The sequence below is a fragment of the Homo sapiens genome, chromosome X (assembly GCF_000001405.40).
Source record: "Homo sapiens chromosome X, GRCh38.p14 Primary Assembly".
In the NCBI taxonomy this organism is placed as follows: domain Eukaryota; kingdom Metazoa; phylum Chordata; class Mammalia; order Primates; family Hominidae; genus Homo; species Homo sapiens.
Genome location: NC_000023.11, coordinates 123,424,796 through 123,441,362, shown reverse-complemented (window position 1 = coordinate 123,441,362; position 16,567 = coordinate 123,424,796). Strand labels below are relative to the sequence as shown.

The following is a 16,567-nucleotide window of genomic DNA, read 5'->3' as shown; positions in this document are numbered from 1 at the left end:
CTTTCTCAGAAACTAATTGTTTTTATCTCTCCTAAATCCTTCTCCCCCAAATTTATATACATATGCTATTTCTCACAAACAAATCTTAATGTGAACACTAGAGAAAACTAACTACCTTAGTCAATAGTGGCCATGGTTTAATGTGATATAAAGCCATGGTCTTATTGTTCATTGTTTTTCTTTCTTGGCCACAAAAATATTCTCACATCCCCCTTGAACTATTTTTGAATTCTTTTCTCCCTCCAAATAATTTTAAATTGCCCTCTTTTTTAGAAACTGTTCCTGATGAAATCACCTGTCTTCTTTATTTTCTGCATACTGGGCTCAGTATGAATGGCATTTCCTTTATTCCCAGAGTGTCCAGGACAGACTTCTTTACCCAGTGGGTTGGAAAATCAATGTTACTGACTGATACAAGAAATAGTCTGTTAAATGTGAAACCCAAAACTATAAAAACCCTGATAGACAACCTAGGCAATACCATCCTGGACATAGGAACAGGCAAAGATTTTGTGACAAACACACCAGAAGCAATCACAACAAAAGCAAAAATTGACAAATGAGATCTAATTAAACTTAAAGAGTTTCTGCACAGCAAAAGAAACTGTCAACAAACAGACAACCTACAGAATGGAAGAAAATATTTCTAAAGTATTCATCTGGCAAAGGTATTAACCCAGCATCTATAAGGCAGTTAAACAAATTTATAAGAGAAAAATAACCCTATTAAAAAGTGGGCAAAGGCCATGAAAAGACACTTTTCGAAAGAAGACATATATGCGGCCAACAAGCATATGAAAGAAAGCTCAACATCACTGATAATTAGAGAAATGCAAATCAAAACCACAATGAGATACCATCTCACACCAGTCAGAATGACTGTTATTAAAAAGTCAAAAAATAGTAGATGCTGGTGAGGTTGCAGAGAAACGGGAACACTTATACACTGTTGTTGGGAGTGTAAATTAGTTCAACCATTGTGGAAAGCAGTGTAGCAATTCCTCAAAGAGCTAAAAGCAAAACTACCATTTGACTCCACAATCCCATTACTGGGTGTATACCCAGAGGAATATAAATCATTCTACCATAAAGACACATGAACATGAATGTTTACTGCAGCACTATTCACAATAGCAAAGGCATGGAATCAACTTAAATGCCCGTCAATGACCAATTGGATAAAGAAAATGTGGTACAGATACACGATGGAATACTATGCAGCCATAAAAAAGAACGAGATCATGTCTTTTGTGGGAACATGGATGGAGCTGGAGGCTATTATCCTTAGCAAACTGATGCAGGAACAGAAAACCACATACCATGTGTTCCCACTTATAAGTGGCAGCTAAATGATCAGCACACATGAACACATAGAAGGGAACAACAGGCATTGGGGTCTACTTGAGGATGAAAGGTTGGAAGAGGGAGAGGAGAGGAGAAAAGATAACTATTGGGTACTGGACTTAATACCTGGGTGATGAAATAATCTATACAACAAACCCCTTTGACACAAATTTACCTATATAACAAACCTTCACAAACCTAAAATGAAAATAAATAAAAAAAAAAGAACAAGAATATGAGTTGAGTGTAACAAGCATACCCCTAACAGAGAGATAACTAACAGACTATTTTTGCTTATTGGATTTAGGTATTAGATAATTCATTCAATACCTGACTTATTTCTCTTAGCATAATGCCCTCAAGGTGAATTCATATTGCCAAGAATGACAGGATATGTAAGTTTTATTTGTAACATACCTTAATTAAAAAAAAAAACAAAATAAAATATTTCTCATAAAAATAATAGTCTGTAACCCAGACCAGACTCAAAGGAAGTAAAGTTGAGAGTCAAATAAATCAGGCTATAAACACATAAGAATTTTGATAAAACTGGGAATTAAGACTCAGTTCTGGAATTCAGATTTCTCTAGGCATAGAAGTTAACCACGTTCAGGGACATCTTCATTAGGTCACCACAGAGTATACAGATAGAAGATCAGTTTTGAGGGCAGCTTATAGATAGATTCATGCAATCAGGACTGGAGAGAAATGCAATAGATTATCTCTATCCAAGCCCCTCTCTTCCAACAGGTAACATTCTAAACCATTTAAAACAGAGGGAGGACAATGAGTTCCATTTTTATCATCCTTTGCCTGCATGCTAGTGCAATCCTGCTGAGGCACCAGAGTTGCAACCCAAACACAGAAAAGGGAAGCATGCTCCCCTAAGTTTTTGCTAAAAGTCGGGGCCACTAACTAAAATGTCCAAGGCTTTGTATAAATGTGTGGTGTAGACAAGGCTTTAGATCTTTTTTGACACATGCATACATACATATACCTCCTCCTCAACTTCATTCATGATATCAAGATGAAACTTTGTGATATTAACTACAGATCTGCCCCCAACACCAGTTATCCAGCATCCCTCTTCCTACTGAAGCAGAAACATCTATTGCCTCAAGACTGAGATTGTTTAAACAGGAATGAGAAGAAAACAGAACAGAAGATGCCCTCATCTATTTTATTTCAAAATAGACTTTTAGAAAGTTATAGCAGATCGGGTGCGGTGGCTCACGCCTGTAATCCCAGCACTTTGGGAGGCTGAGGCAGGCAGATCACGAGGTCAGGGGCCAACATGGTAAAAACACATCTCTACTAAAAATACAAAAATTAGTTGGGCGTGGTGGCATGCGCCTGTAATCCCAGCTACTTGGGAGGCTGAGGCAGGATAATTGCTTGAACCCAGGAGGCAGAGGTTTCAGTGAGCTGAGATTGTGCCACTGCACTCCAGCCTGGGTGACAGAGCAAGACTCCATCTTGGAAAAAAAAAAGTTATAGCAGATAAACATAGAATTGACATATGATCCAGCAATTTTACTCCTAGGTGTATATCCAAAGAATTGAAAGCAGGGATTTGAACAGATGTTTGTATGCCAATGTTTATAGCAGCATTATTCACAAATAGTCACGTATTCATCAACAGATGAATAGATAAGCAAAATGTGGCATATACATACAGTGGAATATTATTCAGCCTTTAAAAAGGAATGAAGCTCTATAACATGTATGAAGCTTGAAGACATTATGCTAAGTGAAATATGCCAGACACAAAAGGACATATTGTTCCATTTATATGAGGTACTTAGATAGGTGGATTCATAGAGACAGGAAATAGATTAGAAGTTTCCAGGACCTGGGAGAAGAGGGAATGAGAAGTTGATTAATGGTTATAGAGTTTCTATTTGAAGTGATGAAAATATTTTGGAATTAGTAATGATGGTTGCATAACATTGTGGATGCAATTAGTGCCACTGAATTGTGTGCTTAAAAGTGGTTAAAATGGCAAGTTTTGTTAAATATATTTTATCACAACTTAAAAAAACTAATAATGTGATATAACAAAACCATTATACCCTTTAAATGGATGAATTGTGTGATATATGAATTATATCTCAATAGATGTGTTTAAAACAGTTATAACAACGGCAATCTTCCCTTCAGACAGCTAACGTTCTCCAACGCTTTGGAAAATTTCTTAACCAGTCCTAGTATACCTTTTCAGCCCTTGTGACTATAGATTTCATAAGTGATTACTGAAAAGGGATGTAGGCCCAAAATCTGAGAGTCATCCTTGGCTCTTTCCTTTTGCTCATAAATGTTATCCAATCCATCAGCAAATTCTGTGACTCTACCTCCAAAATGAATCATAAATCTGATTCCTTCACACAGTCTCCATCACTATAATTCTAATGTAGGCTACTATTCTTCAGCCACAGTGGTTTTCTTCCTTCCTTTAAACATTCCAGGATTGTTTCTGCCCCAGGACTTTGTACTTCGCATGACTTCTGTTTGGAATACTTTTCCATCAGATTTTCACATAGCTGCCTCTTCTTATCATTTAAGTCTCTAATAAAATGTTACCTCCTTAATGAGTCTTTCCCTAAACCCTCCATCCAACCCAAGCTCCCAGTTTAAAATATTTTTCTAACCCTAAGTCATTCTTTATTATAGCATCCTGGAGCACCTATCCGTACCTGGAATTATTCTATACATCTATTTTTTATGTGTTTATGGTTTGTCTCCTTCCAACAGAATGCAAGCTCCTTGAAGGTAAGGGTTCTGTCAATGTTTCCTGTACTGTATACCTGGTGCCTAAATTGCTATGATAAACATTCAATACATTTACTCTCTGACCAAAGTGTGAATGATGTTGAAGACTAGAATGAATCTGACTGCAGGACATCATCTAGTAGGCTTTTGGGGAAAAAATTCTTATCAAGTTTTTGTGTGTCTAAGTTGCCTTTTCCTTTCAAAAGTGGAGTGCAACCAAGCATTCCAGTTAATTGTCCTTGTTAGTTGAGTTTTCGTAAGTCGAATTTTACTTGATCCTTACGGTCAAGTTTTTAGGCTTCTGCATGAAGGAGGACTGTAAATAATTAACCTACACAGGCTTGCCAGGTGAACTCAAGTAAAGTCTAATTGAAGAGATGGGCCTCATTCCTTTAACTGGAAGGCTATTAGATGATTTGACTGTGTCAGATAAGAAAAGAAAGTGAGATCCTTAGATGAGTTCTTCTAGGAAACAGAGTTTCAGAGTTCTTACAAAGATCTGGGGGTCCTGTGTGATGTTAATTACCCTGATGCTGTCTGTGAGAGTTGGCAGCCTCAGAAAGAATGGAGACTTAACCCCCTTAGGCTTTCTGGGCTGTGAAACGCTCTCATAAACAAGTAGGTTACCTTGGAGGACTAATGGAGATAGTTTAATAAAATCCATATGGTTGGTTACTTTGGGCAGATGGCCGGCAGGCCACCTTGGAAGCACCTAAAGTTTCTAGATGGTCTTCAAGGGCAGCTCTAAATTGTGCATATTGAAGTTGTTGAATCTGCAGGCCACAAAGGAATAGCTAAAGATGAATCAACTAGGAGATGAGCACAATAGTAATATTTTATATTTAAGGGTAGAAGTGGGATCAAGAGGATGGGGAAAATATTGAATGAGCTTTCTTTCTCTTCCCAAAGCCAGAAAAACAAACAAACAAACAAACAAAAACAAAAAACAAACCCACATCTCTTCCATCAAGAAAGCAGAGAGATTATCTTATTTTATTTTTGTGAAGTACCCCTCACATCTCTACAGAACTGTGTCTGGAGAGTCTTTAGGTTTATTTTATTTTATTTAAGTTCCAGGATACATGTGCAGGATGTGCAGGTTTATAACATAGGTAAACTTGTGCCATGGTGGTTTGCTGCACCTATCAACCCATCACCTAAGTATTATACCCTGCATACATTAGCTATTTATCCTGATGCTCTCCCTCCCCCTGAGTCTTTAGGTTTTAATTGCTCTATTGCTGGGCCCTTTTCCTAATGTTTCTTGGGACTTGTAGACACCTTCATACTTTTAAAGAGCTTTTGTGATATTAGCCTCTCACCAACCCCATAAGGACAGTAGAGCAAGGAATATTCTCCCTGATAAATGAAGAAACTGAGACCAAATATTCTTTACCCAAAGAAAAATAAGAAAGTCATCAGTGGATGTGGAACTAGAAACAATTCATCTTTCTCTTGTTCTTTCTAGTTTCATCTACACACATGACATAACCCTTAGCACGTCAGAAACTATAACAAGCCATGTAATAATAGAGGTTTGCTCCATTTATGGCATTCACTCTAGCTTTATAGATGCCTTTCTTTGCCTTCTTATCTTGGAACCCTTTGAAGTTGTCAGAGCATGGGAAGTGTCTTTTAAAAGTAGGCATAGATTTCCTTTTCTAATTGATCTATCAAGGGGAATAAAAACATAGATCAACCGGGAGATGATACAGATGCCTTAACATGTGCTGCATTAGAGACTCAGAGCATCAGGATCCTAGTGCCAGCTTTTCTCCATTGAGCTGAGTGACATTCAGCAAATCACAATGTCATGTACCTCATTTGTCTCCTCTATGAAACAGGTGTAATGATACTTGTTCTGGCTGCCCCAGGATTGTTGTGTGGATTGTGTAGTAATGTATGTGAATGTGTGTTGAAAATTAATGGTCCACTAGATTGTGAGCTCCAAGAGGGTAGAGGCCATTTCTGTTTCATTCATAAACTAGCTGATCTTCCTACTGAGGTTACAGGGAATCATTAACCCTGCTGCTAAGTCACCATGGAGCATACCCAGAGATTGGCCCATGCTGGGAAGTAGCTCCATAGAAATAAACACCACCAGCTTCCCTGGAGGGAAAGTCATCTAGTTATGTGAGATACCTATATTTTAAGTTAATCTGTCTCCAAATATGGTGAAAAAGCCTGTCTAGGTATTTTCAGGTAATTTGGCAAAAGATAGGAATTTAATTTTGTTTATAAGATGTATGATCGTCAGTGCTTAGCATGAAGCTTGGCTCAAAAGTTACTGAAAGACTGCTGAATAAATAATGGAATATCAGGCATATTATTAGCTTGTCTTTATTGCTAAATGCTTTCCTTTCTCTTGGAGGCAGATATTAGATGTGTTTTCAGTTGCGTGCATAGTTGTCAGGTCAACCTCTACTTTCTTGGAGATTGTCCTTTCCAGCCAGCCTGAGACTTGCCTGAAAGGAAGAGCTATGGAGCCACAGATTCCTAGCTGCTGAAGGATGGGAAAAGCCAACGGTGGTCTTACTGCATCTTTCCCTTTTCCAGAGGCCTTTTTGGCCAGGCCTCAGCATCCTCACCTGTGGCTGTTGCTCTGTCTCCAGTCTTGACCTATAAGGTCTATGGCTCTTGCTGTGTATTATATAACATAGGAAAGTAAGACTTAAAAAAAAATAAGACAGCATCAAAACAGCCATGTCAAAATTGAAAGACAGTTTTCTTTTTTTTAAACTGCCAAGTAGTATGTACAGCAGATGTCCCTGACCTACTACCCTTAGTGTCAACTCATCTGTTGCTGTTGCTGTTATGTGTTCCCCTAGTGCATGGTTTGGATGTATCCTCAAACATTTGGTCACATTATATGTGTCTTCAAACAAATAAAATTTGGCTGCAGCTTTCCAGGTATATTGTCTGTTAAGATCTTAAATTCACCATGGTGTTTGGTGAGAAAAATTTTTAACAAAAGATTTTTACATTTTGATGTGTTTCCTAAGGCAAGGGGATGGATTAAGGTGTCAGGGAGGTCTGTTGTGTACATAGCTCAATTATAATAAAGCTTAAAGATTAATGGTTGATTTTCTGGATTATGTCAAAATGTCAGCATACCCTGCATAGGTGCGCTTGTGGAAAGATTTTTCTCCCTTCCTGCATATACTTCAAAAGCCCTGTTATAGATAGCCAATAAATATTGAAGAAATGTAGACCCAGTTGAAAATGCTTTGTGTATGTGTGTGGTTGTGAATGTGTAAGCAGAATCGAAATGCTATTAGCAGGGACTCCTTTTCAAATCAGCATGGCAGAACCCCTCCTTTCGCTGCCTGTGCTTAAAAAAAATGAAAAACTATAATGACCAAGACAATAATCAGAGTCTTGTGTTGAGACAAAACATTCTTCATGAGTAATTCAGCTGTGCTTCACAGGGCTTACAATACCTGTAACTCACGAGGCAGGACAGTCCCCTTAGTGGTCTCCTAATAAAGTTCAATTCTTCTGCCTTGCCTAGGGCACTGGAGCAAGTCACCACTCTCTCTACTCCTCTTCTTTTATATTTACTTTCTTAAAGAGGTTTAAATTAATGTTAAACATTTCATTTTTAAAAAAGAATTCCTTTTATCCCCCAAACTTTCTGTAATGGGGATATGGCCAAGTATCTGGAAAAGAAATCTGGCATCCGGCATTGGGGTAAGACTCAAAGACTTCATCAGCTAACTGATCAAAACTAATACAAAAAGAGACAATTGACTTCTTATATGTGATATATAAGTTGTATATCAATGTGTTCTTAGAATAAATAAAGTATTTGTCTTAAGTCCTAAAATAATCACTGCAGTTATGCAGGCTCTGGTATAGTGAAATAAGAGATATGATAGAGATAATGCAACTCTCTCTTTGGCAAATACTCTAATGACAGTTTTATAAAATTATCCCTTGAACTTATTGCTTTCATTAACATTATGGTGCTTCATTCTGATCTGGTCCTTATTTCTTATTTTAATATGTGTCTTTATGCCCTATATACATGGAATTAAAACAGTACTATTTCCCTGTCAACTGTCCAAACATATCAAATTGACATGGATTTAAATTTTCTGGGATTCTAGAATTACTGCCTATTTCCAGAAGAGAGCATTTAAGTTCTCATAAAACCTTCTACCAGCATGGCAAATGATCGCCACATAAAATCAGAAAGTTTTGAGATTATCTCATCTCTGTCATGATGATTTCTGCAAGGTTTCTGGGTGTGGTATACATCTCATAAAATGATGCACTATACAAGTCAGCCTCCAGACCTGGCCATTTTCCAAAAGTTTGCTTGTTTCAAAAAGGGTGGCATTTTTCCCCCCTGTGTTTCTTCCCTGTGTAGCTAAGGGAGGAAGCTGAGTTTAGTGGTTAGTGCAATAGGCTAAGTCAGCAAGTTTAGTTTCTTATTTGGTGATGTGATTTGCTGAAAACCTTTGTCAAACCAACTCTGTCTAAATGATGAAAGAAGTCTTTGTTCTCTTATATGTAACTTTTGTAAACTTCAGTGTGACTAGTATCTTCAACGGTACTGTTCTGAAACTCTGAAACATCTCTCTGGGATTTTTCTGCCTTATATTCTTTTAGAGAATCAGGAAACCAAGCAACGGCAAAGTAAGCAACAAACTAAACCAAATACCAGGGCCTCAGCAGCCTACGCACACAGGTATATGCACAGGCATATCACAGGTTATACATGACCTGGCTGGGCCATCCAGTCAGGTGAGAATAAGAATGAAGGCCTCTGGAGTTGTGCCCAAATAAACACAAGAGCCTTGCATAAAGTTCAGCAAATGAGAAAGAGAAAAATTGTCCATTATGGTATAAATAAAATATTGGACCATTAACTTTTCCATTAGGATTAACTTTAGAACAAACATGTCCCCTTCTTCCACCATCAGACATTTAATGTAAAAAGGGGAAAAAATGTGATTCCTGTTAAAGTGCCTACTGGGGGCTAAATATTTTGTGGGGTAGAGTTTTCCTTAGCCAGGTGCCTACTACATTCTGTAACTTTGTGAAGCCAGCTTTGTCTGCAGCTGGGCATTACATGGCTTATGTCACATCACAGGCTAAGTGCTTTAAGGGATCTAACTGAAGGGCAAATATTTAAAAACATTTTAAAATAATTCTATTACATCAATGGAAAATAATGTTTATTGAACCACTGTTAACACCAAAATATTTTCAAAAGGTTAAACATTTATCAAGAGGAAATTGATAAAGGAAATAATAGAGTTGAAGTAAAGTTAAATACTATGAAGTAAAAAAAAAAGTAAATCTATACTTATTTGAGTTTTAAAAAACAAACAAATAATGGCAAGAGAATACTATGTTATATGATTCCATGTATAAAATGTTTTGGGTGTTTATGCATATAAATGTATAAATAATTATTTGAATGCATCTTAATAAAATATTAATATCAATTTTCACAAAAAAAGAAATCCAGCATCCTGGTTATTTTCTAATACTTTTAAAGGTCTGCAGGCAGAGAGAACTTTGGAATTACTTTTTCTTCCAGTGCCACCTTTTAACATGAATCTGTATCAGGTTAAATTTCCAAAACCTAGTGGAGAATGGTCATTTCAGTGCAGCTTTCCAAATCATTGTAGCATTTCTCTGGGCAACAACAATAAAGCCGTCCACTTGTTTTTTTGGCATATGTGCTTCTACGTCTGGTTGGGATATATAGTTTTGGAGCTGCTGTCTAAGGAAATCAGTTTTCAAATCAAGAGAGTTGATAGTAATATTCCAGGTGTCTCTTCTAGCAGCATGCATTCTGCTCCCTGCCTTTCCTGACGGAACAGGTCCCTCTGTTCCACTGATCATGGGATTGTAAGATGACAGCTAGGGAAAGCTCAGAAAATGAGAGAAACAAATGAATCATTTAAAAATACCATCATTTTAATGGCAGCTTTACTCAGGACAAGTAAAAATGTCTGCAGGGCAATTAGAAAAGAATTTTATTTTATTTATTCCTATCTCTTAGTGGAAGGACTAGAGGGCTGGCCCTAGGCTGTCTTATGTTATTACAATTTGGTCCCTGTAGTATTAGTATAGAGTGAGCACGGGAAGAAATGAGTTCATATTATGTTTGTAAATGTTGCATGTGATCTTGTTTCATCCTCTGAAGTTCATAAGGCATGCTATCAGAGATCCCCAATGTGTGTGTGTGTGTGTGTGTGTGTGTGTATGTGAGTTACTGTTTTTTGTTTTGTTTTGTTTTGTTTTTGTTTTTGAGACAGAGTCTCACTCTATTGCCAGGCTGTAGTGTTGTGGCAAGATCTCAGCTCACTGCAACCTCTGAATCCCTGGTTCAAGCGATTCTCCTGCCTCAGCCTCCCGAGTAGCTGGAATTACAGGCATGCACCACCACACTCAGCTAATTTTTGTATTTTTAGTAGAGACAGGGTTTTACCGTGTTGACCAGGCTGGTCTCAATCTCCTGAGCTCGTGATCTGCCTGCCTCGGCCTCCCAAAGTGCTGGGACTACAGGTGTGAGCCACTACACCTGGCCAGGAGTTAGTTTTTAAAATTGCCTTTATGACTTGACATCACTGAAGAATGAAGGGGAAGTGACATGACTGTGGCAGTCAAGTCCCTAAATAAAGGATGATGTGCTCTTGCTGGCTGCCTTCTTTGCCCCATTGGATTTAAATGGCTTGGAGACCAATTGGCTGCCGGCCCCACAACCCTGTATTGCACGAATATCAAAGATAGTCTTTGTTGGGTCTAGATAACATTTTCAGTATAAGCAGGTTAAAGGAGTTGGTTTTTCTATGCTGCTTTTATAGTTCCACTTTTAGATAATCAACATTCGTGTGCTGCCCTGAAGAACCACCCCACCAAGTCCTTAATGATGCCACCAGTGACCATTTGGGGAAACAGAAAAAGTGGCATGCCAGAACTAGAAAATGATTTGTACTTCCTTATACTTAGAAATATCCAGCTCCCTGTGTAATCAGATTTTCAAAACAGCTCAATTTCCATATGAATTACTCATTGGCTAGGAATTGATGAGCATTAGAAACCACAAACCAATCAGAATGTGGCAATAGCTTTGCTCAGAATTAAATGTTGATTCAAATCAGCTCTGGTAATATGATGCCCTTTAATGAAATCATGATTGAATGATTTAGTAGATGCTTTCCTAGTTTTTGAGAAAGACACAGAATAAGTGGGAGATGGGGTCTGGGCATGAGGGCAATGAATATTTGGTCACACTTTCTGCCTCTGGGCTAATAAATCTCTTCATCTTTCCAGAGAGCCTCCTTTTGCCTGCAATATGGATGAATGGCCTTTGAAAGCCTAATGGGAATTGATGCCGTTTATTGATTACCATTTAAAGCACAACTTTCTAACCTCTAATTGTTTTTGAAAGAAAAATGCTTTCCAGTGGAACAAGTATCTCTTATCTGAGGGTTCAAGTCTGGTGTCTTGATATCCTAAGTGGTTAATTACTTCATATAGAAGCTTCTGGTGTCTTGATATCCTAAGTGGTTAATTACTTCATATAGAAACTTCATGCCTATTGGGATGGTTATCATAAGCTCTGTTGAAGGTTGATATCAAACCAGATTTCCATGGAGCTGGTTATGTGTTGACTACTCATCAGATGGAAATCCCTGGCTTCTAGCCCCGATAAATGTGAGTGATTTCATGGGGGCAGAAAATTGTTTCTAAATAAGCTTCTGGGACTGCCATAGTAGTGAGGGTCAAGGCCAGATTAGTTCCAGAGGGTCTTCATTGGACCAACATTGGACCCCTCCTCCCAGTTGGGGATTATGATCTGGTCAGTAAACAGGTGGTATAGGTGAGATATGGATATCTTGAATCAATGAGAATTCTTGAAAGGGTCCCAGGACTAATACATTCTCTTTCAGGGAGTGAAAACTGTTTGTAGTTAATTGCTGTAATGTCAAGAAATGTACTCTTCCTGGTTTACTGTGAAGTAATTGGACAAATCTCATGATAATACATGTAGAAATGTATTTCTTATTGATTATTTAAAAAGGAGGTTTAGAACCACCATCTGTTTACTCTGGGCCTTTGAGGAAAAATCAGCAATTATATCTGTCATCCAATAACTTGATTATTGGTTGGAGAGAGTGACTAACTACTCCACCTACTACCCAAGTGGCTTCTGGATCATTGCTACAACTAGTTACTGTGGTTACAGTAGCAGGCAGTAGTAATATTATAGAATGTGTCCATTTTCTAATCTAAATTAGCATATTTTTCTTGTTGGGGTAACTGAAAAAACATTTTAGTTCTTAAAAACTCTACTAGTATTCTTCCTTAATAGTCCAGTTACCACAGAATAAAGATCTTGATGGTTTATGTGAAAGTGGTTTGTCCCTCATATTATCCTTCTATCATTTCCTGCTTCAATCTCCTTTCATCTTTCCTCTTGACAGACTTTACATAGCTTTATTAACTTTTGCTAATGAACAATTTACTGTTTCCTCAATAAGATTTTGCCTATGAGGAGCTGAGGGAATACGTCTACCCAAGAAATTAAAACAATTATCAGCTGTCCTGAAAATGAAATTATCACCATGTACACAAATACTTGATACAATTGTAATACATCTCAATAGACAACTAACATTTAAAATAGAATATGTAATTTCTTATAGTCCATTACTCATCAGTCTTAGAGTCAATTGCCTAACTTCTGTGAACCTCTGAGACATAAAAGCACTGCTTTTGTAAAAGCTAGAAAGCAGAATATATATTATTTAGTTCAATCCCCTCATTATTCAAGTGAGGGGACTGAAGCTGGTAGAAGTTAAATGGCTTGCCCAAGGACAAACAATCACTTTGTGGCAGGGTTGGGATTCAAACCTGGGAGTCCAAACTCAGTGCCCTTGACATGCAGCTTGTTATGTCTTACTCAAGTCTTGGTTCTAAACGACAATGGAGTAGATCACCAACCAAGCAGCCCAGTATTTAAGATGCTCTCCTTTGATAACATTCCCACTCTTTCCCAACTCTCCCTTAAAAGCACTGTGAACTTGCCTTTGTGAGAAGATGATAAAATAAATATCAGCAGGCTCAATTAACTGCAGAGCACTTACTCTGAAAAATTCTTTTGTTGAACCGGAGTCCAGGGTCCCATATGCAATTTCAGTCTGTTTAGCTAAGTCTTCAGCACTCTCTATGGGAGAAACCATCCTCTCCACAGTCAGGAAAGCAGCGAGATTGGCAGTATAGGAAGAAATTATGATCAGGGTGAAGAACCACCAAACCCCTCCAACAATGCGCCCGGAGAGTGATCTATAAAACAAAACAAAAACAAATCCAGACCCAGAGGGGCCAGATCTAAGTTTAAGAAATCCTTTTCTTTATTTCTGGAAAGAGGAGTGGTTTCAGTATAGCTGATGAAGGAGGGAAATAGATGATGTGAGGGAATTAAAACATTAAACAAAGGTCACATGTTAACAACAATACCCCATGTCATGATGGCATACTATGATGGTGCATGCATAATACTTGTCAGGCCTATACACGTTTCAAAGCAGGATTTTCTTTTTAAAAAATGAGGTCAGGTCTCTCTATGTTGCCCAGACTGGACTTGAACTCCTGGGCTCTAGCTATCTTCCAGCTTCAGCCTCCTGAATAGCTGGGACTACAAGTGCACTCCTAGCAGGATTTTTCCTTTTAATTACAGGAAAAAATATATATTTTTTTTACCATCTCCTGCTTCCACAGGTAATAATTTAACTTATTGAGTTCTCTTCCTGTGAAGTTTGCTGGGCACACCTGTAGAAGCAAATGGTTTTCAGCCTTGGCTCCACATTAAAATCACCTAGGATCTTAAAAAAAAACTCATGCCCAGGCCCACCAATTAAATCAGAACTTGGGAGGTAGGACACAGACATTTAAATTTTTTAAAGCTCACCAGGTGATTACAAAGTGCAACCAAGGTTGAAAACCACTGCTACAAGGTAATGTCATGAGAGAAACATAGTCAAAAACCTCTTCTCACTTGAAGATAAATGGGTAGGTGCTGGAAAATGAGCACTATTCACTTTGAGTTTAATAAATTTAACAAAGACATTGCTATTTTGTGGAGTTGGTCATCCATAAGGCAAGGAGCTAGATGATAATATTTCTCATCATCTTCATATAAATAGCTTTTGGGGCCCAGGAGATTAGAAACTTTCTCCTTTGACAACTAAGCCTTAACCACTCAGGGCAGACTCCAAGTGAAGTAGGAAACTACCTGTATAGTGGGATTAGAGGCATCAAAAGGCTTGCTTCCTCCACACCCCCTTCCACCCCCACACACAGAAAACGAAAACAAAATCATCCTCCTGGTCTGATGGAGAAATTCTATTGGAATCACGCTCTGTGTTGTTTTCAGGAGGCTTGATCAAAATGTAACACATTACTTCAACAGCACCCACTGTTTATTCAGTTAGTAGGGAATGGGAAAGAAGATGGGTAAGTTTTAATAAGGGGAAATTTTTGTTCTTAAATGTTACTGTGCATCAGCATTACCTGAGGTGTTTGTTAAAATGCAGATTCAGAATAGCTGAATGCCCAAGAATCTGCACTTCTTAAGCATCACAGGTGATTCTGCTGCAAGTGGTCTGCAGACCAAACTGAGAAACATTGTTCTTCTACATCAGTGATTCTCAGTTCTGCCTGCATATCAATATCATCTAGGGAGCTTCAGTCAAAACACGTCAACACAAAAAGACAAAAAACCTTGCCTAGGCTTCAAGACCAATTAAATCATAACCCTGGGGGTTGGGACTAAGCAGCAGCACTTTATAAAACTCTCAAGGTGCAGACAGGGTTGCAAGTTTGGTCCTGCATCATGAGTGTTCCTCAGAGACAGGGACCATAAGAAGTTATTGGACAGTGTGAGGGAATTGAATGCTCAGTGATGGGTAATGGCTTGTACTCAGGAAACTTCATCTCCTTCACAGTGTTGCTGAAGGCTGGCTCTGTCTGCAGAAATGAAAATCTGCTCCCTAGGTTTTATAAAACATTGCCACATCATCCTTAGGATAATTCTGCTGTGTGGCAGAGCTCCATCCTAGTTACGCTATGTTCTCCCATGCCCAGAAAAACTCACAGGAAGAGAACCCACTCTGTCATAAAGTCAAGAATAGGCGTAGGAGCCTGGCATATCTCCAGGCTCTGTGGGAAGAGGGTAGTTCTGGGCTGAGAGCCGGCAAATCAAGCTCTTCTCTGTCTGTACCAGCATTTCACCACTTTAAAGCAAATTTAAATTCCTGTGTCCCAAGGTAACCTTTTTCTGGCCTCTGGAAAACTCAGTTGTTTTAGATGCTACACTCTGAATAATTTTGGCAGGTATTTTGATAAATATTTATTATTGGTTAACTATAACAAACTGACTTGATTTTTTTTAAATCTGTAGTTCCTGTTCGTCCCTGGATTCCTGAGACAACCCGTATTTATTTCCTGAACATGATCACTTTTAGCTTTTTGAATTTGAAAATCTGCTTTGCAGTAGATTTTTCTAACAGTTACACTATCTCAGGATTTCATCTGGGAACATTTCTCTTTTAATCAGAAGTAAAAACATCTGGATGAGTCAGAAAAGAATGTGGCACACTTCTGAATGCTAAAAGTATACAGGGTGTTTTGATTATGCATTTAGACCTTTCAGAGTCTTTCTTCATTGTTGCCACATACATTTAATTTATTCTGAACTGATCTGACTCTAGAAATAATTTTGCTATATAAAAGATTAACATTCCAAAGAAACATCCATAGTAATAGAGGAAGAAAAATGATAACAATTATAGCTAATACTTATTGAGCACTTCTTGTGTGCCAGACTCTGTTCTAATTGCTTTACCTGTGCCAACTATTTTAATTCTCTATCCCTATGGTTAGGTACTATTTTAAAGATAAGCAAACAGAGGTATTTTACAGATAAAGAAACTGAGGCACAGAGAGGCAGAATAGAAAATAAAACATTTAAACTTATACACTAGGAGAGAAATACCCACATTTTTGTAGTATAAAATACCCGTATTTTGTATAAGAAAATCCAAAATGGTGTGCAAGTTATAGAAGGTACAAATTTTCTCCAAACACTGAGAAATATAGTGGCATGAAAACCAAACATATTTGTATAATTATTGTTTATTATCTGTTGTTCATTTGGGACAGAACTGTGACTGTCATTTTTATTTGGAATGATGAGGTTTTGCCAGACCAAGGAGAAAACTGACTTTGGAGTAATTCCAGAATCACAGTTTGATATGGAAAGAGGTATATTTTGCTGCTGTGAATACTAATGGTAGTTTATGCATTGTCTACTTGACAATGTGGAGAAAAATACAGTAATTTATGGAAATTACACTGTGCCATTGTATTGAGGCTAATGGACTGTGGCTGTGTCAGTCTGATCTAAAATCAAGCCTGCACATCATAATCT

The 16,567-nt window shown here is 37.9% G+C and overlaps 1 protein-coding gene across 2 annotated transcripts in view; it reads right to left on the bottom strand.

Moving 5' to 3' along the window:
- GRIA3 (glutamate ionotropic receptor AMPA type subunit 3) overlaps positions 1–16,567 on the bottom strand; it is a 306,638-nt gene that overhangs the window by 49,553 nt on the left and 240,518 nt on the right. For both annotated transcript variants that reach the window (NM_000828.5, NM_007325.5), the window contains exon 12: positions 13,224–13,422. In NM_000828.5, the coding sequence (NP_000819.4) occupies positions 13,224–13,422 (199 nt within the window). The remainder of the gene's footprint in view (positions 1–13,223; positions 13,423–16,567) is intronic.